Raw genomic sequence first — 27,455 nt, 5'->3', positions numbered from 1 at the left:
TTATTATCCCTCTCACGAAGGCACAAATACAGTAAGCTTTCATAAATAGTCTTACTTGGCAAACCCATTTAGCTGACTTTGTGGGTGTTCTCGATAATCATTTTCCTAAAACAAAATTATTTCAATTTTTGATATTAACTAATTGGATTCTCCCTAAAATAACTAAATTTAAACTAATTGAAGGTGCTGAAAATGTTTTTATAGATGGGTCTAATCTTATTCTGCTTCAAAAGGAAAAGTTTTTCAGACACCCTATACCTCAGTTCAAAAAGCAGAGCTTGTAGCTGTAGTTGAGGTATTGACTGCTTTTTATATGCCTATTAATGTGATTTCTGATTCTTCATATGTGGTTCACTCCACACAATTAATTGAAAATGCTCAGTTATGATTTCATACAGATGAACAACTGGTGATTTTCTACCCAATTAAAGCAGTTAGGAGTAGAATGCACCCTTTTTACTCACTCATATTAGGGCTCAAACACCTCTTCCAGGACCTTTGACTGCAAGGAATCAAATGGCTTGATCGCCTAGTTGCTACTGCAATATCTAATGCCGACACTTTCACAGTTTAACCCATGTTATTGCCTCTGGTCTCAAATGCAGATACAGCATTACCTGGGAAGAAGCTGAAGCCATTATTCAGCAATGCCCAACTTGCCAAATGGTGCATTGCTTATCTTTTATGGGAGGAGTTAATTATCAAGTATTGGAACCTAACTCTCTTTGGCAAAGGGATGTCACACATCTTCCCTCATTTGGGAGACTAGCTTATGTACATGTATGTGTGGATACCTTTTCTCACTTTGTCTGGGCTACATGCCAATCAGGAGAGTCTTCTGCCAGTGTTAAATGTCACCTTTTGCAGTGTTTTGTGGTGATGGGCATTCCAGCTTCTATCAAAACAGATAATGCCCCAGGCTATACTAGCCAACTTCTGGCTACATTTTTCTCTGTATGAAATATTAGCCACTTTACTGGCATCCCATATAATTCTCAAGGACAAGCCACAGTAGAAAGAATGAATCTCCCCCTGAAACAGCAGTTTCAAAAGCAAAAGGAGGAAAACAGATACTACGAGACACTGCATATGCAATTGAATCTAGCATTATTGACCATAAATTGTTTGAGCCTGCCTAAAGGCCAGATGCTATCAACAGCTGAACAGTATCTACAGAAACCAGCTGCAAAGACAGAAGCAGAACAACTCGTTTGGTGGAGAGATCCAATAACAAAAAGTTGCGAAATAGGTAAAATAATAAGTTGGGGTAGAGTTTCTGCTTGTGCTTCTCCAGGACTGAATCAACAGCCGATTTTGATGGTACCATCAAGACACCTGAAACCTTATCATGAGCCAGATGCTGAAGAAGAGATTCCAGGAGGATCCCAAGGACCCTCCAGTTGCAGCCATGTTGAGACTGACATTGCGGAGGATCCCAACTGTCATGAGCAACACCCATCGAACACAGCCACCTACCTGGGGACAGATCAAGAAGCTGTCACAGATGGCAGAAGAAAATCTGAGGAAAGCAGGACAACCAGTCACAATGAGTAATTTAATGGTAGCTATGATAGCGGTGATCACCACTGTCATGAGTATCCCTTCAACAAGTGCTGACACAGAGAACAAGTATATTATTGGGCATATTTATCAATCTTGGCTGGCAATAATGCCTGGATGTAATCACTCTGACACAGTTACACATGCTTTCTAATCTCAGTATTTACCATAATAAATCTGCTCCTATAATTGAGGCATACTGCCCCCAAAAACTTATTTGTAAACACAATTGGATCTTGCCAGAAATAATGAACATACTTGTTTAGGAAGATTGCACTGCAGAACAGGCAGAGGTGCTGCACAACAATTCCTATGGAATCATCATTGATTGATCCACTGAGGGGATGTTTAGCTTGAATTGCACCTCTCAGTCTGCATGCCATGGCCACACTATGTTCAGCTAGTCTAAACAAAATGGTCAGATGGTAGAAATAGTAAGAAATATGGCAAGAGTTTCTATTATCTGGAAGCATGGCAGTATAGTGGCACCTCAATCTCAATGATGTGGCCCACAGTAAGAGCTAAACATAAGGATTTGTGGAAACTATTAATGACTCTTAATAAGATAAAAATTTGGGAAAGAATAAAAAACCATCCAGAAGGACACTGTACAAACTTGTCTTTGGATATGGCAAAATTAAAAGAACAAATATTTAAGGCATCCCAGGCACACCTGACCTTAATGCCAGGAACTAGAGCTGCAGACAGATTAACAGCTAGTAACCCATTAAAATTGATAAAATCACTTGGAAGCTCTGTGGTTTCAATGATGATTGTGTTTTTAATCTGTGTTCTTTGTATGGTCTGCAGATGCGGATCCCAACTCTTGCAAGAAGTAACTCACCATGACAAAGCTGCCTTTGCTTTTGTCACTTTGAAAAAACAAGAAGGGGGACATGGTGGGGATAGGCCCCCAAATCTGGTTATAAACTGGCCCTAAATCTGGCCATAAACAAAATCTCTCAGCACTGTGACATGTTCATGATGGCCATAACACCCACGCTGAAGGTCGTGGGTTTTCTGGAATGAGGGCAAGGAACGCCTGGCCCAAATGGGACAGAAAACCACTTAAAGGCATTCCTAAGCCACAAACAATAGCATGAGCGACCCGTGCCTTAAGGACATGTTTCTACTGCAGATAACTAGCCGAAGTCCATCCCTTTGTTTCAGCCCATCCCTCTGTTTCCTGTGAGGAATACTTTTAGTTAATCTATAACCTATAGAAACAATGCTTATCACTGGCTTGCTGTCAATAAATATGTGGGTAAATCTCTGTTTGGGGCTCTCAGCTCTGAAGGCTGTGAGACCCCTGATTTCCCACTTCACACACTATATTTCTGTGTGTGTGTCTTTAATTCCTCTAGCACCACTGTATTGGGGTCTCCAAGCTGGTCTCAGCAATTTCTAATATTACTTTACCAAGAATTTTAAGGCCAGCTTTGTTATTAAAGATTTTACCTTAGTTACATAAAATTGAAAAGCATTTGACTAGCCTTTTCATTTTTAGTATCTGATTTAAGCACCTTTATTTTTCTTTAAGCTAATTAATTAGAGCTCTTTTATATATTTTTAGTAGTGAAACATTATGTATACCATATGAATAAATAGACATATTAGACATGCTTGTGGAAGTACCTTTTAGAGATTCATAAAGACCCCACACCCACTTTTTTTTTTACCTTAGATTTTCAGATGCTTTATAACCTGTCTTAACAACTCTAGGCAGTTGTTAGCTGAATAGCTTTAAATTTGCATATTAAAAGAAACAACTCAGGTGAAAATCAAGTTGCAAATTTCAAATCATAAGGTACACAGAAAAAGTTGTTTTAGAGGGAGACACTTTCAAAGTGCACTTAATTTTTTTTAAACAAAGACATTTCTGAGTGTCTAAATTACATTATTTCTTAAAAAGCCAAGAGTAGCCTTTGCTGCAATACTATTTTAGTGAAAAAATCAGGTGAAAAACAGAATTCAGTCAATTGAGAAGAAAAAAATTTTTGCTAAAAAAAAGACAAAGATTTAGGAGAGAAAAACAGAAATAACCAAAAACTGAAGGCCTCTTAAATACAAACTTGCACACAGGCATACATGCACAAACAGAATTTGCATGTTAGCCTTTTAATTAAGCTAACCTTTAACCACTGAGCTCCTTTAACAACAATAACAACAACAACAACAAAAACTTTTAAATTCTCATTACCGTATTTCAGCTAGGACAAAATGCTGCTAAACCATCGATAAATTATATGACTTCTGAGTGCTCTAAGTGTAAGGAGAAATTCACACCAGCTTGTTATTATTGCTGTTATTTATAAAGCTTCAATGCTGCAAAGAAATAGCACTCGAATATAATTTTTTAAAAAATTCTCAGCAAGGCAAGTTATTTCTATAGAACGGTGCACCCTTCAGATGGAGCAGTGGTGAGTGCACACTTGGACAAGGGAAGGGAAGGGGTTCTTATCCCTGATGCATGTGGCCCTGCTGCTATGTTGTTCCCCTATTGGCTAGGATTAGACAGCACAGGCTAAACTAATTCCAATTGGCTAATTTAAAGAAAGTGACAGGGTGAGTGGTTTGGCAGGAAAAATGGTTATGACAGAACAGGTAATCAGAATGAGTCAGGGTGGAGTAGGTAATCAGAAGCAGTCAGGATGCAGCAGGTAATCAGGATAAGTCAGGGTGGAGTATGTAATCAGAATGAGTCAGGGTGGAGTAGGTAATTGGAATGAGTCAGGGTGGAGCAGGTAAATCGAAATGAGTCAGTGTGGAGGAGGTGATTGAAATGAGTCAGGGGGGAGCAGGTAATCAAAAAAGGTTGCTTTATGAGGAAGTTAAGTTTTAAAGTAGAAGGCAAAGAATTAAACATACTGACATATGGATGCTTTAATAATAGGAACCTACTTGTTGCTCCCCTGCTTGCTGCCTTTGCTCCTTCAAATAATGAGAAGATTTTTCACTATTTTAGTTCACCAAAATACTTCAGCACAAGTGTATTACATGAATCACTATTGATCTGTCTCACAGAAAGACCTAGATAGTGAAGATGAAAGTCAGAATTCCCACTAATAAGTGAGATACTCAAAGGGGGAAAATAAGGAAGGAGACCACCTGTCCCATTGTCTCCTGTTTCAAAAAGGAAGCAAAAAGTTAAAAAGAAGCAGAAGTGGGATCAATAGACAGAGGGCTTGGCACCAAAAACCAGGCATGGTAGTTAAAGATTAACTCCTGACCTAACCACTGTGTTATCTATAGATTCCAGACATTGTATGAGGAAGCATTGTGAAACTTTCTGTTCTGTTCTGTTTTGCTAGCCCCCATCACTGATGCACGTAGCCCTCAGTCACATAGCCCCTACTTGCAGACCCTTTCATGTGGACCCCTTAGGGATGTAAGCCCTTAAATGAGAGAGGAATCTTTACTTCAGAGAGCTCAGACCTTGAGATGCGAGTCTACTGATGCTCCCAGCTGATTAAAGCCCCTTCCTTCATAAAACTGGTGTCTGAGAGGTTTTGTCTGTGACTGGTCCTGCTATACTTTGAAAAGAAATTTAGAACTCATATCTAATAATGCTAACTTGAGTTGCTTAAAAATAATTTGCAAGACAGAATCCCAAACTGGTTTTTTTACCTAGTGATGGGTCTCAGGCTGTAGACGGCTCTCTACCATCCTAGAAGCAGGAAAAAAATCCAAACTCATCTTTCTTTTTGGAATGGAGCTCAAACTCCATAAAGGAATCACCTGCCTTCCATCATCATAGAAGCAGGAAAAAAAACACCTTCCTTGTGTTGGAAGCAAGTAAAACTCCAAAAAAAAACAAAAAAAAAAAAACAAAAGTGGAGTTGTACAGCAAAATCTTCATCAGATTTTGGGAGCTCAGGGACTCTCTGGAATCAGACCTCACCAAATTGTCCTATTTGTTTCAGCCATAAAGTTAGCTCAAGCTGGTTCCAAGCACCAATAGGAGATTTGTCAAAGATCAGGGGCATCTCCACTCACAATCCCTTTGTGTACTAAAAATGTGAACCCCCAAAATTCGAGATAGGTCTCAGTTAATTTAGAAATTTTATTTTGCTGAGGTTGAGGACATGCCTGTGCTACAACTTCAGGAAGTCCTGAAGACATGTGCCAGGGTGGTCACAGCATGGCTTGGTTTTATACATTTTAGGGAGACATAAGGCATTAATATAATATAATATAATATAATATAATATAATATAAAATAATATAATATAATATAATATAATATAATATAATATAATATAATATAATATAAAATAATATAATATAATATAATATAATATAATATAAACATTAGTTCTGTCCAGAAAGGCAGAGATAACGCAAAGCAAGCCCCCTGCCCCTTCCCCCGCTTCCATGTACTTCCCCTCCCTCCCACCATTGGGAGCTTGCAGGTCACAGGTAGATGTGAGACAGATAGATGGCTACACATCTTTTGAGTTTCTGTTAAGTCTTTCCAAAGGAGGCAATCAGAAATGCATCTGTCTCTCTGAGCAGAGAGATAACTTTGAATAGAATGGGAGGCAGATTTGCCCTGAGCGGTTCCCAGCTTGAAGGGGCCCAAGATATATTCCTCCACACTGTTATGGGAAAGATAAATACTTTTTAATATATGACCCTAAGCCTGCTTTCTCTTTGCTTATTTTCATTCACTCAAATAGTTAATCTGTGGAACAGAATTTGTGCTCTCACTAAAAGAGACAACAATCTCTTTTTCAAGGATTTTTTTAAAAAATCTTGTGATTTGAACTTTTACCTACTTATTTTCCTTACACACAGACAGTTGTCATCTTAAAACTTAACCTTACTGTAGTATGAGCAACTCAGGATCTAACATAAACCTTTCACTATTTTGCAAGCCTTTATACTAGGTCTAGACCTTGGACTTACAGTTTTTGTGTTAATATGCCTTTTTTTAAATCCCCAATCTGAATCTCAGCCATTACTTTGTACATGGTTTGGTCTCTGAAAGAACAAAGGATCATGGTGGAGTGAAACTAAGCATAAGTGGGGTTTCTCATTTAACCTACTCTCCTTGCAATCACTTTCCTCCTGTCCTAGGGCATGAAATACTTTTGAGTTTTTATTATTATTTAGACCATTGTGGTCAACAACTTTTTCACGGCCCAGAGTTTTCATCTCACTTAACCAAACTAAAGGAATGGGATTTTAAATATAACTCTGTAAACATATCATGATAATTTATTGCATTCAAATAGTGTCCTAAGTTGTTAATCTTTTCCCCTCCCTGGGATTAACAGAGTGTATTAACTTGGAGACTTAGCACCTATTTGCTTGGGGAAGTTTCTCTATTTCCAAAAAATATATAAGATTCAATAGCTTACATTTAATATATAAGTCTTAATGCCTTTCTGAGCTTTTGTTTTCTAATCTAGAATTATTTTGAAGACTGTTATTTTTCATAATAACCTTCAACTCTTTACCAACCTAAATAATTTTTTTGTTTTTTACTTTTTTTAATAAATTGATTATCCATTTTAAAAAAAGGATGCAGTCTTTTTAAGTTTAGCAGTTTATTGTAGACTTACTGGATTTACTGCGATTTGTTTTTCTTTTACAACACTTTCATACAGATGGTATTTAAATATCTTGAAAATATATTTTCAAATTTTCTTTCTGGGAAAAAATAATTTATTACTTTACAGATACATATTGAATAGGCTGACAGATGTAAATTTTGTCTCTTTTTTGCAATATTATTATTTAGATCATCAATTCATTGACAAAAATTAAAATACATGCTTATTAATAAGTATATTACTTAATAATGCTTCCAGAATTGACTTAGGTTTTAAATGAAACTCATATTTTAGTAGTTTCCTAATTAGATGTGTTTTCCTTTGGATTTCTTACAGTGACAATTTTTTGTTGAGAATTAACTTGAATCCTTTGAAGCTAAATTTTCTTTTTAATGTCTAATTTTTCTTCTTTTATTAGTATGGTTTTCAAAAGGATTAAGAAAAAAACAGATCTTTGAATTATGATTATATTCTTCTTAAACTTCAACTAATACTTTTCCCTGTTATTTAGAAAGTATTTTAAAAGTACTCAGTGACAGAAGCATTATAGGAAAAATATATATTGTTTTGAAGTTCTGACAAATTCTTTTTTTTTTTTTTTTTTCTGGGAGGCAGAATCTCACTCTATTGCCGGGCTGGAGTGCAGTGGTGCAATCTCAGCTCACTGCAACCTCCACCTCCCACTGTCAGGCCTCTGAGCCCAAGCCTGTGCGTATACATCCTGATGGCCTGAAGAACTGAAGAACCACAAAAGAAGTGAAAATGGCCAGTTACTGCCTTAACTGATGACATTCCACCATTGTGATTTGTTCCTGCCCCACTCTAACTGATCAATTGACCTTATCCTGGACAATGAGTATCAGAAGCTCCCCAATGAGCACCTTGTAGCCTCTGCCCCTGACCGCAAGAGGAAAAACCCCTTTGACTGTAATTTTCCACTACCTACCCTATAAGACTGCCCTACCCCATCTCCCTTTGCTGACTCCTTTTTTAGCCTCAGTCTGCCTGCACCCAAGTGATTAAAAAGCTTTATTGCTCACACAAAGTCTGTTCAGTGGTCTCTTCATACAGATGCACGTGACACCAAGGTTCAAGCAATTCTCCTACCTCAGCCTCTTGAGTAGCTGGGAATACAGGCATGCATCAGCACGTGGCACTATGCCCAGCTAATTTTTATATTTTTAGTAGAGATGTGGTTTCACCATGTTGGCCAGGATGGTCTCAATCTCCTGACCTCGGGATCCACCCGCCTCAGCCTCCCAAAGTTCTGGAATTACAGACATGAGCCACTACACCCAGCCACCAAATCAGCTCTTGAGCTTTCAGAGAATATATTTTGCAAAGGTTTATATGACTTACCCTTCTTTTACTTCCCCCAGTATAGTACTTTACTTTTGACCTAACATTGTCTTTGACAATTACTGTATTATAATGGAAAGGATACTGGGAGTCAGGAAACTATCCAGTTAATTAAGTGCCTGTAGCCAAACTATGTATATTTCTACATATGTCTTTCTGCATGTGTAAATGTGAAATAGAGTAGGTGATCCCTTAGGGCATCAAAATGTTTCATCCTAGAAAAAAGTAGTTGTTGCAATTTAAGAAATATGATAGTTTTCTCTTGTGTCATTTGAAAATCATGCAAATAAATGATGAGAAGTAAACATTCTAAGATTAATAAAATAGTTCAGATTTCTCATTTTAGTAGAAAACATTTTATAAGAGTTCTTAAATTCTTGAATGGAGAAGTTTTCCTTGTGACTTTTGTTGCACAAAATTTCTAATATTTTGGAGCCAGGCCTAATGCCCACACCTGTAATCCTAGCAACTCAGAAGGCTCAGTTACGAGGATCACTTGAGCCCAGGAGTTTGAGCCTGCAGGGAGCTATGTTGTACCATTGCACTCTAGCTTGGGCAACAGAGGGAGCCCTCACACCCACTCCCTTAATCATGAAACACACACACAAATCATGAAATATTTTGCCTTGCTATGATTGTAAGATACAACGAATTTCTGAGTTTCTCTTCAAAGGTTTAGACTGCTAAGTGCCTTTTTCTTTGTTCCCAAACCTAACTTTTGTGTTCTACATGCCTCCTAGTTACTTTAAAAAGCCTACCCACTTCCTGTCAGCTCTAATCAGTAACTCACATTTGTTCCCTTGGTTACCTGCATCCATTGTTTCCCCAAAACTGCACATCTCACACTCTTCACCATTGTTCCCAATGTCCCTCTTTCCTTCCATATTTAGAAAAATATTTGCAGCTCAGATTGGGTCAGCTTGGTCAGATTGGTCAGATTGGGTCAAAGTGGGTCAGCTCAGATTGTGCAGTCCGACCCCAGGCCATGGGGAAGTGACACAGAGGTAAGGACCATGCATCAGAGATAAAAAAAAACCCCGTTCTCCTTTGTTCCCTGTGCTCTTGCTATCTTGATTGATGTGAGTGGCACCCTTCTGCAGAAGTAAATTGCCTTGATGAGAAAACTTTTGCCTGGGTTCTGGTTTCACTTTGCCGCACTAAGCATTTATTTCTAGAGCATTTTTATATCCAACATGATGAATTGTTCTAAATGGATAATCTAAAACAATTCAAGTTAGTAAATGATTTTGAAAGAATACCAAGCCATTTATCAATGGGAAAGAAAAATTCAAAACTCCAGATGAATGAGTTATGTTAAAATAATAGAGATAAGTTTTACTGCTAAATTGCTCTAATTGTGGCAGAGTTGACAAAAATATTGATTTTATTTTTGTCGTTGATTGTTTTGCTTAGCTTAAATCTGTTGTAAATATGAAGACAACTGAATTTAGGTAGTGGGGTAAATGTAGTTTTAAAAAGTGAAGATTGCTTTAGAATTTTGAATGTTTTTACTTGGGATTTCATTGTAATCTTTTTTCCTTTAGGGTTTTTGAAAACTAAAGCATGGTAATTTTTATGTTTATTAGTTTAAATATTAATAAAGGATGTTATTTATATAATGTAGCAATTGTGGTGAATCTAAGATTACTTCAGTATTTCTGTTTATAGAGATGTAACAAATATAAAATTAGTCTTACACCTGGAATCAGAAAAGTTGTTGAGTGACTATTTATTAGCAGTTTTTCCAGAGTTTGTAACATTTCTCTAGCAGTAGTGTAATGTAATATAAATCTACTATACAAGTAAACTAATGTAAGCTAAGTGTTTGTAAAGTGTGTGAATACTTTGATATCTTTTACAGGATAACTGAGTTTGAAGTTTTTTATGATTAAACCAGTATTTTTATTTACTCTAAGATGACTGAATTTTTCTGTCAGTCAAAGAGTGATTTTCACTATTTTCAGTTTTTTTAGTGTTAACTTTCATCATTTTTCCCGCCCAGACCAGTAATAATCTTGATGCCTGTTGCCAAGCCCTTTCCCAGGAGAGTAACAAATATTTATATTTGGAATACCATAGTCCAGATAACAAGATGAATAGAAATCACCATTTGTGTATTAACTTGGGTATTCAGTCTTCTCGTAGTTATCACCCAGGAGATGGAGCTCAACTTAATAGTGGACAAACGCTGGTACATAGCTCAAGTGATGGGCATATTGATCTACACCAAAGAGTAAGTAAAACAGCTTATATATTTAGTTCAAGAACCACACTCATTTCCAGCTGTTGTGACTGCCACTTGCAACTATAATTTAATTTTTATGATTGAACAGCACAGCAATGCAGGTATTCCTTCTTCACAGCCACCTCAACAGTCATTTTCCATGCAAATGGAAATGAATCTGTCTGCTATGCAAGGGTGTGCACTACCATCACCACCTCCTCCTTCATTTGTGCACATTCCTCAGTATAGTACAAATCCTGTTACCATTACAGTATCTCAAAACCTTGCTTCTTAACAGACGGTACCAAGAGGTTTACAAATTCCAAGCAATACAATGGTTCTCCTGCTTCTATTTGTGTGAGGCACACCTGTTACAGTATGCCATGGTAGTCCTCACTACAGGGCCACTGCCTCATTATAGCCAGCATCCTTTACCTGTTTATCCACATCAACAGAACTACCAGACATCTCAGTATTCTCCCAAACAGCAGATTTCTCAGTCAGCTTACCAGTCACCACCTAGGTCTCAATGTTCTTCACCCTTCAGCTTTCCTCATCATCAAGTACAGCCTTCCCAGTTGGGCCACCCAAGTAGTCACATCTTTGTGCCACCTAATCAGGACCTCCTGGCTGTCAGAAACAGTGAAATCATTCAGTAGCATATATCCAATACACAACATCTAGCTTGCACAGAGGATTCATGAAAAAGACAGAAATTATGGTTTAACCTTCTCAAAGACCTGGAACAGTAATTAATAGCTGTCCTTCACCCATCAGTAATCAACTTTCCCCATGTAATTGGCGTTCTCTCTATGCAGGCACTGTAACACCTTGAAGTTCTTCAAGGGGAATGTATAGTCAATCAAAGCCTTCAATGAATGTGAATCCCATGCATATTACATATACACAACGAAGTGGACCTTCATGTGCCCTATCACAGTCTCCTCAGATAATACCACATCTATCTGCAGTTTTAAAAATTACTGTAGGTGGAGCAACAACTGAAAATCTTTTAAATTTCATGGACCAAGATGAATAGTTGGCAGCGCCAGAACCCGTTCAGCCAATTTTAGTGACTCCAGGTCCTGGAGGAAAAAAGGTAAGTCATAAATATCAGCGTTCTAGTTCTGGATCAGATGACTATGCCTATGTACAAGGTGAATTTTAATTGTTTTATGAAATTCAATCTTTGAGGTGAAAAGTTAAATTCTTATTCAAAATAAAGTAATTTATATTCACTATTAAGTTTAATATTTATTAAATGTTGAACAATGTAATTTATAAGGATAAGGCAAGTCCTTCAGAGTCATCTACAAATTTACTTACATACAAAGTCCTGTACATTTTTCTTATGAAAAACCGGCATGAGAAGACCTAAAATACTTCTGAGGATAATGAGAGAAAGATGTCAATAAGTAAAATGTATATCGTCAAAAGTACAGACTTCAGAGAGGGGAAAATAGATTTTTAGAGGGATGCTAATCTTCATCAAAGTGAAAGAATTTAAACTTTGGAGTGAAAAAGTACTGAAAGGGGTAATGATAATTATAACATAGAATTGGAATTAGAATGAACATGCTACTATGTGTGATATTGGGCCTTTTTAAAACACACACACTTACAGTTTGAAAGAATCTGATTGAAAATATCACATAACTACATGGATGTATAGATGCAGCAGTTACATTTTGGTCTGTCTAGTTCTATCCCATATAAGTGGAATAAAACTTGAAAGAAATGTGAGGAAATGCCAATTAAAGTTAGATGATAGGATTTCTTATGATTATTTTATACATAAATTTCCAGGTAGATTTTTCAGTGTTATTCTCTGCAATGGCCCTATCTTTAATGCTTATATATATATATATATATATAGCCTTGCTGTTACATCAACGAGCAAGGATGGAGAGGTTAGCAAAGCAGCTGCAACTTGAGAAAGGGGAGCTAGAGCTATTAAAGGCTGAAGTTAATGATATGGAACATGACGTGATGCACAGATGGCTAATAAGGGTCAGCTGCACTACTGTGATCCCAATGGTAAGTGATTTGTCAGAATGTATTAGAAGGGACATGAGGATATTAACTGTCTAGGCAATTTCATTTTTTAGTATTTACTTCCTGCATAGTGTTTGAAAACAATGCCTTTTGTTAGAATAATTCAATGGCCTATTTTGCAAAAGAGTGATTCTAGGCTCATTAGTGTCTTCATATACTGACACATATAATAAAATACAACATATTATTTTTATAAATTTCTTTCATTCAAAATAAAAATGAAGACTGAAACCAAGATAGAGATTGGAGATGTTATTTGTTTTTCTCCTTGAATTTATTTCTTCTAGGTAATTTTTTTTTGAGGTGGGGTCTTGCTCTGTTGCCCAGGCTGGAGTACAGTGGCATGATCTTAGCTCACTGCAACCTCTGCCTCCTGGGTTCAAGTGATTCTCTCACCTCAGCCTCTGAAGTAGCTGGGATTACAGGGGTGCTCCACCATGCCTGACTAATTATTTTTATTTTTAATAGAGACAGTTTAACCATATTCACCAGACTGCTCTCCTACTCCTGACCTCAAGTGATCTATCTGCCTCTGTTCCCAAAGTGTTGACATTACAAGCATGAGCCACAGCGTCCAGCTTGGAGTTAGAAAGAGACCAGTATGAATTTGAAAGATGTATTAGCCATAAACTATTTTTAATGCTTCTGAATTTTATTTAATGTAAGTAATTTTAAAAACTGAATTTTAGAGTATTGTTAAGATTTCTAAGAGGAATTAGTCTAATGAAAATATTAGGGGGATATATATTTTATGTGTTGGTTGATACTCATGAATTTTAAGGTTTTTTTTTTTTTTTTTTTCAACAGAGTCTCGCTCTGTTGCCCAGGCTGGAGTGCAGTGGCGTGATCTCAGCTGACTGCAAGCTCCACCTCCTGGGTTCACGCCATTCTCCTGCCTCAGCCTCCCAAGTAGGTGGGACTACAGGTGCCCACCACCACGCCCGGCTAATTTTTTGTATTTTTTTTTTTTTAGTGGAGATGGGGTTTCATTGTGTTAGCCAGGATGGTCTCGATATCCTGTCCTCATGATCCACCCACCTCAGCCTCCCAAAGTGCTGAGATTACAGGCATGAGCCACTGCACCTGGCCGAAGTTTAAGTTCTTAAGCAACTCGTAATTTTGTAAATACTTCTTAAAATCTTTACATCACAAGATTTCTGTGATTGAACCTACTATTTCACCTTTCAACATTTACTCAACTAAGATTTTTGCATACAGTTTTTGAATGAGGTACTGTGCTAAGTGCTTATAGCATATCTGCTAGTAGGAAAAATAGATGCATCAACAGATAATTATAATACAATATGGTAAGAGCTATGTATACTCATTTATGTTGATAAACTATCATATCAGCTAGATGAATGTTTATCATCCAATCATTTTTTCACTCTCTTATATTATTCCCTTGGCATAATGCCCTAAGCCTACATCCCTGCATGTATAAATCCTGTTTATTCTTTCTTCACATCTCACCTTAACCTCTACTTTTTTTCAGGGACCTTCCTCAAAGTAATCTGTCTGCTTATACATGCCCTCTCTCCATTTCTGTCCTTATCTCTCTCCTCTCGTGGTCTTCATAACTTTAGAGAAATGGGCATATACATCAGGCCTTTTGTGGTATGTCTGCAATATGCAGTTAAGTCTTCATTTAGAAAATTTGAACTGAGATTCATGGCTTCAGAGGGGACCTATGAATTCTGTGAAATTACACGCAAAATTTTGTGTTTGAATGTGACATGGGTTTGTAACTTTCATCTGATTTTCCTAAGGCTATTAAATGAAAGGCATTGGGCAAGAGGAAGAGGTTAGGAACCACTGCCCTCAACTGTAGACAGTATTGCAATAGGAAGAAGAAAAGGCGAAGGCATTTTTGGTAGGGAAAAAGGTGTGAGCTAGTGACTTGAAATCAAAACATACTGAATTTCAGAAAGCAGTGAATATGATTCCCTGGCTCAAAAGTAAGATTTTTCAATGTCTTAACAAAGATTAATATGCCTAATTTGAGGTTTTAGGACTTTATTGTATTGCCAGTAGAGAATCAGAAGTTTTTTAGAAACAGATTTGAGTACAGGCATCTTCAACAATATAAAAACACCATTTCTAATAGTAACTAAATTTAAAACGTTGATATCATTAACAGTTGTAAAATTAGAACTGTCTTCAAATGAAAGGTATCTTTTTGTTTGTTTGGTTTTTGAGACAGCCTTTCTCTGTCACCCAGGCTAGTGTGAAGTGGTGCAATCTCAGCTCACTGCAACCTCAGCCTCCTAGGTTGAAGTGATTCTTGTGCTTCAGCCACCTGAGTAGCTGGGATTGAAGGGATGTGCCACCATGCCCAGCAAATTTTTGTATTTTTAGTAGAGTTGGGGTTTCACCATGTTGGCGAGGCTGATCTCAAACTCCTGGGTTCAAGTGAACTGCTTGCCTCAGCCTCCCAAAGTGCTGGGATTGCAGGCCTGAGCCACCATACCTGACTGAAAGACATCTTTAAATATAAATGAAAGGCAGTGTTAATGTAAATCAACTCTTCTTTTTTTCTCCATTTGAAATCTTAATTCAGTTGTTTCATTAGGGAAGACATTGAAGTATATAACCAGTTTGGTAATCCACCTGTGTACACTGAATACTTTCAGTCCATTATGTACCTGTATAAACGAATTTTCTTAGCCCAGAACTCACTTATTTTAAAATAATCCTATGAAATTTTTTTGTTAATGGCAAGCACTTACTATATGAAAATTTCTGCCAAATATGACCCTACTGAACTTTTTGTTGGTAGTAGGAAGCTATCTGATGCACAATGGGTTAGTGCTTCAAAACTATGAAAACAGTACTTATATTTTTATATTTTATATATATATTTATATTCATATTTTATTTATATGTCTTAGAGATAGGATCTCTCTCTGTTGACCAGACCAGAGTATAGTGGTGTAATCATATCATGCTGCAGCCTTGAACTCCTAGGCTTAAGCAGTCCTTCTACCTCAGCCTCCTAAGTAGCTAGGACTACCATATGTTTTTATTTTTATTTATTTTTTATTTATCTATTTTTGTAAAAATGTGGTGTCATTCTGTTACTTTGGCTGGTCTTCAACTCCTGGCTTCACATGATCCTCCAAAAGCTCTGGGACTATTTAGGTGTGAGCCAGCATGTGTGGCCTGAAAATAGGATTTGTATCAGAGCTTTTACTTATGAGATTTCTTCAGACAATAGAAAAGAAAATGAGAGTTTTTTGAGGACACTACCATGCTGAGCCATAATTTATTTATTTCATTGAGCTAAAATTCACGTCACAACTAACTGATTTTTAACTTTTTATTACAGAGAATTTCAAAGATACATAAAATTTCTAGGATAATATAATGAACTCTCATACCATTCAGCTTCAAAATTTGTTAATTTATGTGGATAACAATATTTGGAATATGAGAGATTTGAATGTGATTCCCAGGTTTTTCCACTTCCAGGCCCAAAGTAAAGTGAAGGGGTATAGGGAGTGCATAGCTTGGGGGCAGTTTTAGATACTGGGTTTTAGAGTCAGATGAAAAATTTAATCCTACGTCTACAATTTACATGTCACTGACATGTCCTTGAATAAGGTAATTTTATACTTGTTTTATTCTATGAAATGTGCATGGTACAGTATTAATCTCATGAGAGTTTTGTTAGTATTATGTAACCTAACATACAAGACATTTAGCTCAATGCCTAACTTTGTAAAGATTCAGGAAAAGTGCAGGTTACAAAATACTGGAAAAATCTTACCCATGTGAATCTGAGGCAAATCTAAATTTGTTTTCCTTTTAACTTTAGGAACATACAGGAATAATACAGGAATGTATTATGAGGGAATTAATCAGGAAATAAAGCATTTAATCAGAATTCCCTTTTGGTTCATATAATTCTGGTAAATCCAATGCCTGCCAGTGCTGCTATGATACTGTGGAAAGAATGCCTACATAGGTTTTGGAGTTAAAATTGCTTTGGCACTCACTGACTATGTCCAATTTACCTATGTTTATTTTTTCCATTTTTCAAGAGAATTTATATCTCACATATAGTAATATTTTTATCAAGTAATTTCTCAGTAAATGCTGGGTAGCCTGATCTTTATCTTGTTCTTGTAGAATAGAGAACTGACTTTTTTGTGCTAATCATAGAGTATTAAGTTTTCAAACCTTACTTTCTTAACAAGCAGTATTTTAAAAGTTGGTTACAAATACATTTACCTAATTTATTTGGAATATATGTATGTGTCTAGCTATATATGTGGTTGCAGAAATTTACAGCATAGCTGTGAATAATCTTTTTTAAAAATTACATGAAAGATGTGTAATAATCATCATCTGTCTCAATCTACCACTAAACCAAGCATTATATTAGCTGCTGTAAGAGAGAAATCCAAGTAACCGTAAATTACACAGTAAATCTTGAAACCCCTCCTCCATGAATACTTTTGATAATGGGTAGTTTATTTTGAGAGGCAGTTTTATTTAACCAGAAGCTATGAAAACATATATAATATTATAAACAGTTAATTTAATGAGTTCTAAGGAAACAGGTTCTTCAGCTACTCGACTTTACTGATATAATCCTAAAAAGAAAAGAACACTTTTTCTTGCATATTGCATGGAAGAGAACATTAGCTATATAAGTGCTTTATATCTTTTGTTAAAGCGCAGGTATACGCTTCAAATTTTTTCTGTATTACCTGGTAGCCAGACTCAAACATTTTATATGTTAATGGCTATATATGTTTATATGTTAATTACTTAGGGTTTTCCTTGAGTAATAAATAAAGAAGAAAACATTTCTAAATGATATTTATCTTTAGAATTTTAGGGTATTACCTTGCTATTATATTTGGTCTCTTATATCACTTATGTTGTTTTGATATCTGCTGATTTATTGGGCAGTCCCTAAATTTGCTAATACTTCCCAACAGCCTGAGTTACTGCATTATTGTTACTTAATGTATATATAGTTGAGATCTCCTTTACAATTGAGGTAACTCCAGACAGTCTAATGAAAGTGGGCTCTGTTAAAAGCTTTAATAGCCATACCTTTGGGTTCAGATCTCTGAGTTTTTAATTGTATGCATAAAGAAATTACGAATGTGAAAAAAAACCACATTCACTTCATTTAAGTGAACTAAAAAGTTACTTCACATTTTACTACCCTATGTTTATACTTGAAAGTCCTAATGAGTAGTAGAGTGGGTGGAAAGATAAGGCTGAAGAAAATAAAGTGGAGTATATGTTCTACATTAATAGCTTATTTTTAAAAATCTAGAAAATAAAGACAAAAAAGAATATATGTAGTTTTCAATATAAATCCTGGCCCTACCAATTACTGGATTTATGACTTTGGGAATATTATTTCATCACTGTGTGTCTCAGTTTCCTCATCTTCAAGTTGAAGGAGATACCAGTACCTACCTTGAAAGAGTGTTGTGAGAAAACAAAGGAATTCTGGTAAACCCACTGCCTGCCACAGCTGCTGTATTATTTCCACCAGTATTGGCAAACCTAAAATTATTGGCTTTGACTCTTTAAAATGTTGGTTTCTATAATTTCCCTTGACATATAAGTATTTAAGTGAAATAGTCTCAGTGCTGTGTGATTAAAGAAGTAATATTTTTTAATGTTAAAACAGTGTCTGCTTTACACGAGGAATATGTTGCATATTTATATGTGGCCATCCTTTTTCCTTCTTTTTTTCTAAGTATTGTTTACTGCAAATATGTGTCACCACTTTACCTGACTGCCCCTTATAAATCACATGTAGAATTATACATGTTGTTTCTTAGCAACTGTGGCCATATATTTCATAATGAACTGTCATAAATATTAACATAAAATGGAGTTCTTAAATGTTGGGCTTGATACTGACTTTCCCACAAATACTAGCCTGAGAAAATAACAAGATTGAGACGCATGAACAGACAGCTCTAGATAAATGTTGACTGCACACTGAAAGAAGTTAACCTCCTTCAGTCTAGAAGTATAGACTTCACTATTTGGTAACATAAGAAATAATTCGGTATTTAAATTGTTACTTTGGTTTCAGAGATTAAGAAAAATGTTATATAAGAAAGGTTATGGTCCTAGTAAAGAAATTTCTACTCCATAGTTATAGGTCATATTTGAGGCATCAGTAATAGTTTTAGTTTGACAATTTCACTGTTAAGCTCTTTTAGGCTATTCTATACTGTTATTCTGCATTTTTCCTTTTTTGGTCAGTTGTGAATATTTTACAAGTTGATGACTTTTAATTCCAAACCATGTTTATGTGCTTCTTAAAAATATCTATGAATACTCTTGCCTGTAATCCCAGCACTTTGGAGGCTGGGGTGGGCAGATTACAAGGTCAAGAGTTCAAGACCTGCCTGGTCAATATGGTGAAACTCTCTACTAAAAGTACAAAAATTAGCCAGGCATGGTGGCACATGCCTGTGGTCCCAGCTACTCGGGAGGCTGAGGCAGAAAAATTGCTTTATCCTGGGAGGCAGAGGTTGCAGTGAGCCGAGATGTCCCCACTGTACTCCAGCCTGGGCGACAGAGTGAGACTCCATCTCAAAAAAAAAAAAAATCTATGAGTAGAGATCCAAAATTATGATGTCTCAGTTTTAAAATCATTCTTATGTCATTTTTTAATATGGGCAAATATGTGATGTGAAAATATTTAACTACATCCTGTGTAAAGTATTTTTAATTTTTTATGGAGGTACACTATAGTACAGATGATCTTAACTGATCACCAGTTTAAGTAATGTTCAACTTATTTGGAAAATATACTTAGCTGATGTTCAGGCCAGGTGCAGTGGCTCATCCCTGTAATCCCAGTGAGAGGTGAAGGTAGCTGGACTTCCTGGATCGAGTAGAGACTTGGAAAGCTATGTATAAATTATTTTCAGAAAGCTATCTTAAAATAAAATAAACGTTCAAATGTCCCCACAAAAGAAACCACTATTTAATTTTAATAAGAGATGTTTTTGGTCTACATTGAGTAATATCCTTATAATAAGCCCTTTTTTTATATTTTAGTATTTCTAATTCCCTTGATAACAGATCTAAATACAGCAGAATTAACTAATTTCTTCCCCCCCCCCCCCAATCTCTGGAAAACTTTTAATAATGAGTTTCCAATCTATAATTTAATTTAGAAAAAGAATACTCTTTTTCTTTGACATTTAGATTAGATTAATGCTTGATTTGATAAAAAGTAGATTTTTTTGTTGATTTTAGGGAGGAAAACTTTTTCTGGGAAAAAAATTTACAAATTAAGAGATTTACTATACTTGAATTATCTCTACCATACATCATTATCTGTAAATAACTATGGCATAGTTATAAATCTTAATTGGAATTGTGCAGGACAGTCTGCTGGTTTGCGGAAGTGAAGATGGGCTCCAAACCATTGCTTGAATCAAAACTAATGTTGGAGAAGCCAAGGCAAGAGATATAGCTGAAGTATAGACACTTGTTCTGGGAGTGAACTTTGTTTGTTCGTTTGTTTGTTTGTTTGAGGAGTCTGGCTCTGTTGACAGAGTGCAGTAGCACAATCTCGGCTCACTGCAACCTCCGCCTTCCAGGTTCAAGAGATTCTCCCGCCTTAGCCTCCTGAGTAGCTGGGATTACAGTCGTGCACCACCAAATCCCGCTAATTTTTGCATTTAGTAGAGATGGCTTTCTCCATGTTGCTCAGGATGGTCTCAATATGACCTCATGATCCACCTGCTCCAGCCTCCCAAAGTGCTGGAATTACGGGTGTGAGCCACCACACCCGGCCGGAGTGAACTTTTTTAAAAGTGAAATATTTGAGGCAACATTAAGTTCTTAGGATTGTTTTATTGTTGTGAAATAAGCACAATATTCTCTTTGGTCATTGATAAATCTGTATATAATATTTAAGCTTCTCTTTCCTTGAACATAAGAATCCATAAGCAGTTATTTTATACTTATATCTTTTTTTGTCATAGCTCTTATGGGCAAGTACAGAGGAAAATTGTTCAGTCATCCTTCCATTTCTCCTCTTCGTTTGCTTTCTAAAATGTCCCTCATGCTTAATCCTGCCGAGGGAGACTAGCTTTGCAATTGGAGAAATAGTCCATTACATGATAAATTATAGACAAACACTGATGTGACAGTTTTGTGATGTAGAGATGATAATGAGATTTTAAATTCTAGAAAATGATTATCTTTCTTCCAATTTTAATTTTCATAGTTACTCCTTGAAAAATCAAATAATAGTGAAAGAATGAAATTTGAGAGAAAGAATCATAAATTCCTAGTTCCTTTTTTTATAGGCAACTTTGATCCAAAAGCCATGAATAATTTTTATGACAACATAAAACATGGCCCAGTTGTACCACCCAACCCATCTAAAAAAGGTGAGTAGTGAAATGTCAGAAATATCATAACTATGAATTCTTTGAAAATTTCTAGTAGAGATAGATATTCATTAGCTTGTTAAGAAAAAAATTTAAATTTACCATATTGATTTTAATGTGGCAATAATGAAATTTCCCCAAATTTTAAATGTTAAGAGCACCCACATTGTTAGCACTTAAAATTATTTGCAGAGGGTTTTTAATGAGATGTGAAAAACTGTATTATATAGACTACATTTATATAATCCTAAAAGATAATGCTTATGAAAATATTTAGAATTTATAAACATAGAATGTTCAAGAATGTACATAAATGGGAAGTTGAATCTACAAAAGAACCAAGATTGTCAGCATTGAAACAATCCCTATGTACTTAAAAAGGTGAGCATAACGGAGTAAATGTCACTGAACCAAGGTACGAGGATTATTTTTTGGCAGTTGTTACCTAGGAGTTATTCAATAGTAAAAGCTATCAGATCTGCTCTATATTTCTGCTCTATATCTGCCAGTGTTTAAATAGGCATTTCAGTATATTAAGTTAATTTCAATTAATTTTTATATTGAATAACTGATTTAGATTTAGTTTTTCTATCCCATTTTGTTAATGACCATTAATTTTTATTAATAAATACATCAGACCTCATCTGAAATATATATTTTATATTTTTATCTCTTTTGTTTTAACCAGTTCAAGATTTATTGTGTAATTATGTAAGAATAGAAGACAATGCTTATTTATGAGAAATCTTATATAATTTTAAGTTTCTAATATCTCATCTGACTTCCTTATTTTGCCATTTGGGGTACATATTTTAGGTAGCTTCTCTGACCTAAATTATTTGAATATTGGTTAAACTGTTTTTCATGTATTTCAAGCTCAAGACATACTGTTTTTTATTTTTTTCTTACTTATTCATTTTTTAGAGACAAAGTTCTGACTCTGTTGCCCAGACTAGAGTGAAATGGCAATTTTTTTTTTTTTTTTTTTTTTTTTTTTTTGTGGAGATGTGGTCTTGCCACATTGCCCAAGCCGGTCTTCACCTCCTAGGCTCAAGATATCCTCCTTGCAAAGTGTAATTACAGGTGTGAGACACCTCACCCAGCCTCGCTTTTTAATTTTTTTTTTATTAAGAGCAATTTTAGGTTTACAGAAAAAAGGGAGTGGAATGCAGAGGGTTCTCACATACCTCCACCTCCTTCCCTCACAGTTTTTTTTCTATTATTAACATCTTGCATTTTTGTTGTAAACTTGATACAGTTGATGAGCCAATATTGATATAATATTATCACTCAAGCCCATAGTTTATATCAGTGTTCACTCTTGGCTGTGCATGCTCTATGGGTTTGGACAAAGTGGGATTTATCTTAAGAATGCAAGGTTGATTTAACATTTGGCATCAATTAATGTAATTTACCATACTAACAAAATAAGAAAAAAAAGATAATTTAAGTAGATACAGAAAAAGCACTTGAAAAAATTCAATAGTTATTTATTACAAAAGCTCTTTAGGGTTATTTCTGCAAGCTCATGAAAGGCATCTTTGGGAAACTTACAGAAATCTATCATTCTTAATTGGTGAAATATTGAATGCTTTCTCTTTCAAATAGGAAACTCTAACCACATATATTTGACATTGTACTGGAAATTCTAGTCTTCACAAGAAAGAAGTAATATGCATAAAATAAAGGAAGAAATAACGCCATATATATTCATAAATAACGTGACTATTTGCAAAGAAAATCTTAAGGAAACTTTAAGATAACTAATGGAAGTAATAAGTAGACTTAACTGATGCAAACTGACTCTAGAAAAGTTACATTTTTATTTACCATTATAACAGCAAACAATTAGAAAATCAAATGAAAAAGATAATTTAAATTACAATAGCAACAAAAACATAAACACTTGGAAACAAGTTTAATAAAAATCTTTATAAACTCTCAGTGAGAACTTTAAAATGCAAAGAAAAGTGAAAGTAAAACTTCCCGCACATTGCACACACAGACAGAATAGGAGAAATTGTGAACACTGGTAGAAAGGAAGTAAAATTTAGGAACATTTTTTGACAGGATAGCTGGAGATCCATTACCAACACCTGGATGGGCTGTCAGAGGCTGGCTTGTCCAGAAGCCTTTGAATAATGCCAGGGTGTGCCCTGTTCAGAAATCATCAGTGGCTCCAGACTTCTCCCAGCCTTGCACAATGATTAGTACCTCTGTGAAAGGAAACCAGTTTGAAGAGAGCCTTGAGATTAAAGGACAGTTTAAAGTTCACTCTATACTGACCACTCCAATGTTTCTATTTTCTGTTCTGATCCCAATCCTGGATTGGGATCAAGCCCCCAAATGAAATGGCTTTGTTTTCTGGGGTATGTGCCCTGCTTCTTTGTCTCATGCAGAGAAATAATTCAGGAGACAGACACACAAGAGGAGTGGTTTAGGAATGGATAACTTAATAGACAAAAAAGAGCTGGGCATGGTGGCTCATGCCCGTAATACAAGAAATTTGGAAGGCTGAAGTGGGTGGATCACTTGAGATCAGGAGTTCGAGACCATCCTTGCCAACAAAGCAAAACTTTGTCTCTACCAAAAATTAAAAAATTAGACAGGGTGGTGTCACATGCTTATAGTCCTGGCTACTTGGGGGGCTGAGGCAGGAGAATCACTTGAATCAGGAGATGGAGGTTGCAGTGAGCTGAGATTGTGCCATTGCACTCCAGCCTAGGCAACAGACCAAGACTCCATCTCAAAAAAAAAAAAAAAAAAAAAAAAAGACAAGAAAGAGGAAACAGAGCAAAAGCTTCTTTACGCTGAGAGAACGGGTGGCCCAAGAGAAGGTCTCCAGTTTGGGGTAGAACACAATCAATTTTGTACAGAGACTTGAGGAGGTGGTGATTGATTTACATAGGACCCAGGGGGTTGGTTTGACCAGGTGTGCCATTTACACAGCCTGAGAAAAGACTGGCCTCTCACCCTAATCTTTTATTATGTAAATGCATCTTCCACCTGGTGACTGTCATGACACTTGTACACATGGTGACAAGGAAAAGAGAGTGAAAAATGCCATATTGAATGTACCTGGCTTCCAGGTACAACTCCTGGCATTTAAATATGTAATTTTCTAGTTTGTATATCTATCAAGCTGCTTTTTATTAAAGGAAAATTTCACCAATAACTCTTTTATCCTTTCTAGCTGTCTAAAAAGAATTTATTGGCCTGGCACGGTGGCTCACGCCTGTAATCCCAGCACTTTGGGAGGCCAAGGTGAGCAGATCATGAGGTCAGGAGATTGAGACCAGCCTGGCCAACATAGTAAAGCCCTGTCTCTACTAAAAATACAAAAAAATTAGCCAGGTGTGGTGGCGGTTGCCTGTAATCTCAGCACTCAGGAGGCTGAGGCGGCAGAATCTCTTGAACCTGGGAGGTGGAGGTTGCAGTGAGCTGAGATCGTGCCACTACACTCCAGCCTGGGTGACAGTGCAAGACTCCATCTCAAAAAGAATTTCTTAATAACTCCTGTATTATTATTGGTGCTAAAGAACTAATTACGAAGCCTAAGCCCATCAAGCTTTTCTCCTATGCTTTCTCTACTAGTTTTATAGTTTTAGGTCTTACATTTAAGCAGTCTTTAACTCATTTGAGTTTGATGGTGTGTGTGTGGTGTGAGTTCAGTTTTATTATTTTCCCTATGGATATACAGTTTCCCAACATTATTTGAGGAGGTCATTTTTCCCCCACTGAGTATTTTGGGCAGCAATATTCAAATGTTAGTTGACTGTATATATGTGTATTTATTTCTGGCCTATAGTTTATTCCATTGGTATATATCTGTCTTTGTGCCAGTATTATACCATTTTAATTACTGTAGTTTTGTAATATATTTTGAAAATACAAGTGTGCTTCTTCAAGTGTTTTTTTCTTTATACTCAACATCATTTTGGCCATCTGTGGTCTCTCATGGTTCCATATGAATTTTAGGATTTTGTTTTCTTTCTGTTTTTTGTTTGTTTGTTTGTTTTTTGAGACAGAGTTTCTCTCTGTCACCCAGGCTGGAGTGCAGTGGTACAATCTTGGCTCACTGCCACATCTGCTCCCCAGGTTTGAGAGATCCTCATGTCTCAACCTTCTGAGTAGCTGAGACTACAGTATTACCATGCCAGGTAATTTTTTTTTTTTTTTGGATTTTTTAAAGAGATAGGGATTCACCATATTGCCCAGCCTGGTCTTAAACTTCTGGGCTCAAGCAATCTACCCGCCTTAGCCTCCCAAATTGTTGGGATTACAGGTGTGAGCCACCACACTTGTCTTATTTCTGTTTTTAAAAATGTTAATTTTTTTTTAACTTTTTAGTTCAAGGGAACATGTGCAGGTTTGTTACAGAGGTAAACTTGTATCATGGGGGTTTGTTATAAAGATTATTTTGTCATCCAGGTATTAAGCCTGGTACCCAATAGTTATTTTTCATAGGTAATCTATTACGATTTTATGTTTGTGGCATCAGTGACATGAGAAGTTATAATATCTGCCTTTATCTCTAATTGTATTTGAGTCTTCTCTCTTTTTTCTTAGTCTAGCTAAGATTTATCAATATTGTTTTAAAAAAGCATAGTTTCATGTACTTTCTGTATTATTTTATTTTCTAACTTCTATTTATATTTCCTCTAATTTTTATTATTTCCATCTTCTGCTAACTTTGGACATGGTTTTCTCTCCCCTTGCCTCCCTTAATAGTCCAAGTATAAAGTTAGGGAGAGTTTTTCTTTCCATTTTTTTAAGACAGAGTCTCACTCTGTTACCCAGACTTGAGTGCAGTGATACAGTCTCTGCTGTCTACAACCTTGGCCTCCCAGGGTCAAGCAATTCTCCTGGCTCAGCTTCCTGAGTGGCTGGGATTACAGGACTATGTTACCATGCCCTGCTAATTTTTGCATTTTTAGTAAAGACAGGGTTTCCCATGTCGGCCAGGCTGGTCTCAAATTCCTGACCTCAAGTAACCCACCCACCTTAGCCTCCCAAAATGATGGGATTACAAGTGTGAGCCACTGTGCCTGGCCATTTTTTTCTTTTTACAGTATATTTTGTTGCTATAAACTTTCAAGTAGTGCTTGAAAGTACTACTCTCTTTTTCTTACCATTTGAATGAAATATATTTATTTCTTTATCCCATTACTTTATGTGTGTCTATTACTCTAAAGTGCGTGTCTTGTAGACACCTAATAATTGAGTTTTTTGTTTGTTTTAGCCACTGTACCTCATTTGATTGGGAAGTTTAGTCCATTCATGTTTAAAGAGGGTTTTTTCTTGCAGTAAAAATGGGGTTGACATGTAGCATCTTATAACATTCTATTTTAAGCTGACTTCAATCAATCACATCCAAATTCTACACATTTCTCCTTCCATGGTAATATTTTTGTCACAATTATATCCATTAAATTTTTGTAGTTATATTTTAAGGTACTGTTATCTCAGCTTATGGAGCTAGAGAGTAAAAGAATGGTTATCAGAGGCTGGAAAGGGTAATTTGGAGTGGTGTGGAAGAGAGCTGGGGATAGTTAATGAGTACCCAAACAAAACAAAAGAAAACAAAAATAGAAAGAATGAACAAGACCTATTATTTGATAACACAACAGAGTGATTATAGTCAATAATAATCTAATTATGCCTTTAAGAATAACTAAATGAATATAACTGGATTGTTTGTAACACCAAGGATAAATGTTTGAGGGAACGCATACCCCATTTTCCATGATATAATTATGCATTGCATGCCCGTATCAAAATATTTCATGTACTCCATAATATATACATCTACCATGTATCTACAAAAATTAAAATTAACAATTAAAAAATGTCATCTTTAACTTTAAAATTAAAAGTGATTTACATACTACCATTATAGTATTATTTATTCTGTATTTGTTTATGTTTCAACCTTAGCAGTTACTTTTATACATTCATGTCTTTGTGGGGTTTTTTATTTGTTTGTTTTACCGTTTAGATCATCCTTTCATTTTAATTTAAAAAAACTAGTAGTAGGATTTCTTGTAAAGCACATCTAGTGGTAATGAATTCCCTTTATTTTTGTCTTTGTTTCTGTGTTTGTTTATTTTGGAAAATCTTTCTCTTTTATTTTTGAAGGACAATTTTCCTCAGAATAGGGTTTTGTTGGCAATTTATATCCTTTTTTTTTTTTTTGCATTTATTATCCTGCTTCTTTCTGGCTTGCAAAACTTGTTTGAAGAAATCTGTTCATGACTTTACAAAAAGAATATGTCCCTTTTCCTTGCTACTTTTAACATTCTC

At 35.8% G+C, this 27,455-nt stretch overlaps 1 pseudogene; it reads left to right on the top strand.

Moving 5' to 3' along the window:
- On the top strand, positions 10,477-21,152 carry TAB3P1 (TGF-beta activated kinase 1/MAP3K7 binding protein 3 pseudogene 1; annotated as a pseudogene).

Source organism: Homo sapiens, chromosome Y, assembly GCF_000001405.40.
Source record: "Homo sapiens chromosome Y, GRCh38.p14 Primary Assembly".
NCBI lineage: Eukaryota > Metazoa > Chordata > Mammalia > Primates > Hominidae > Homo > Homo sapiens.
Note: the sequence above shows the minus strand (reverse complement) of the source record. Positions and strands in the feature narration are given on the sequence as shown.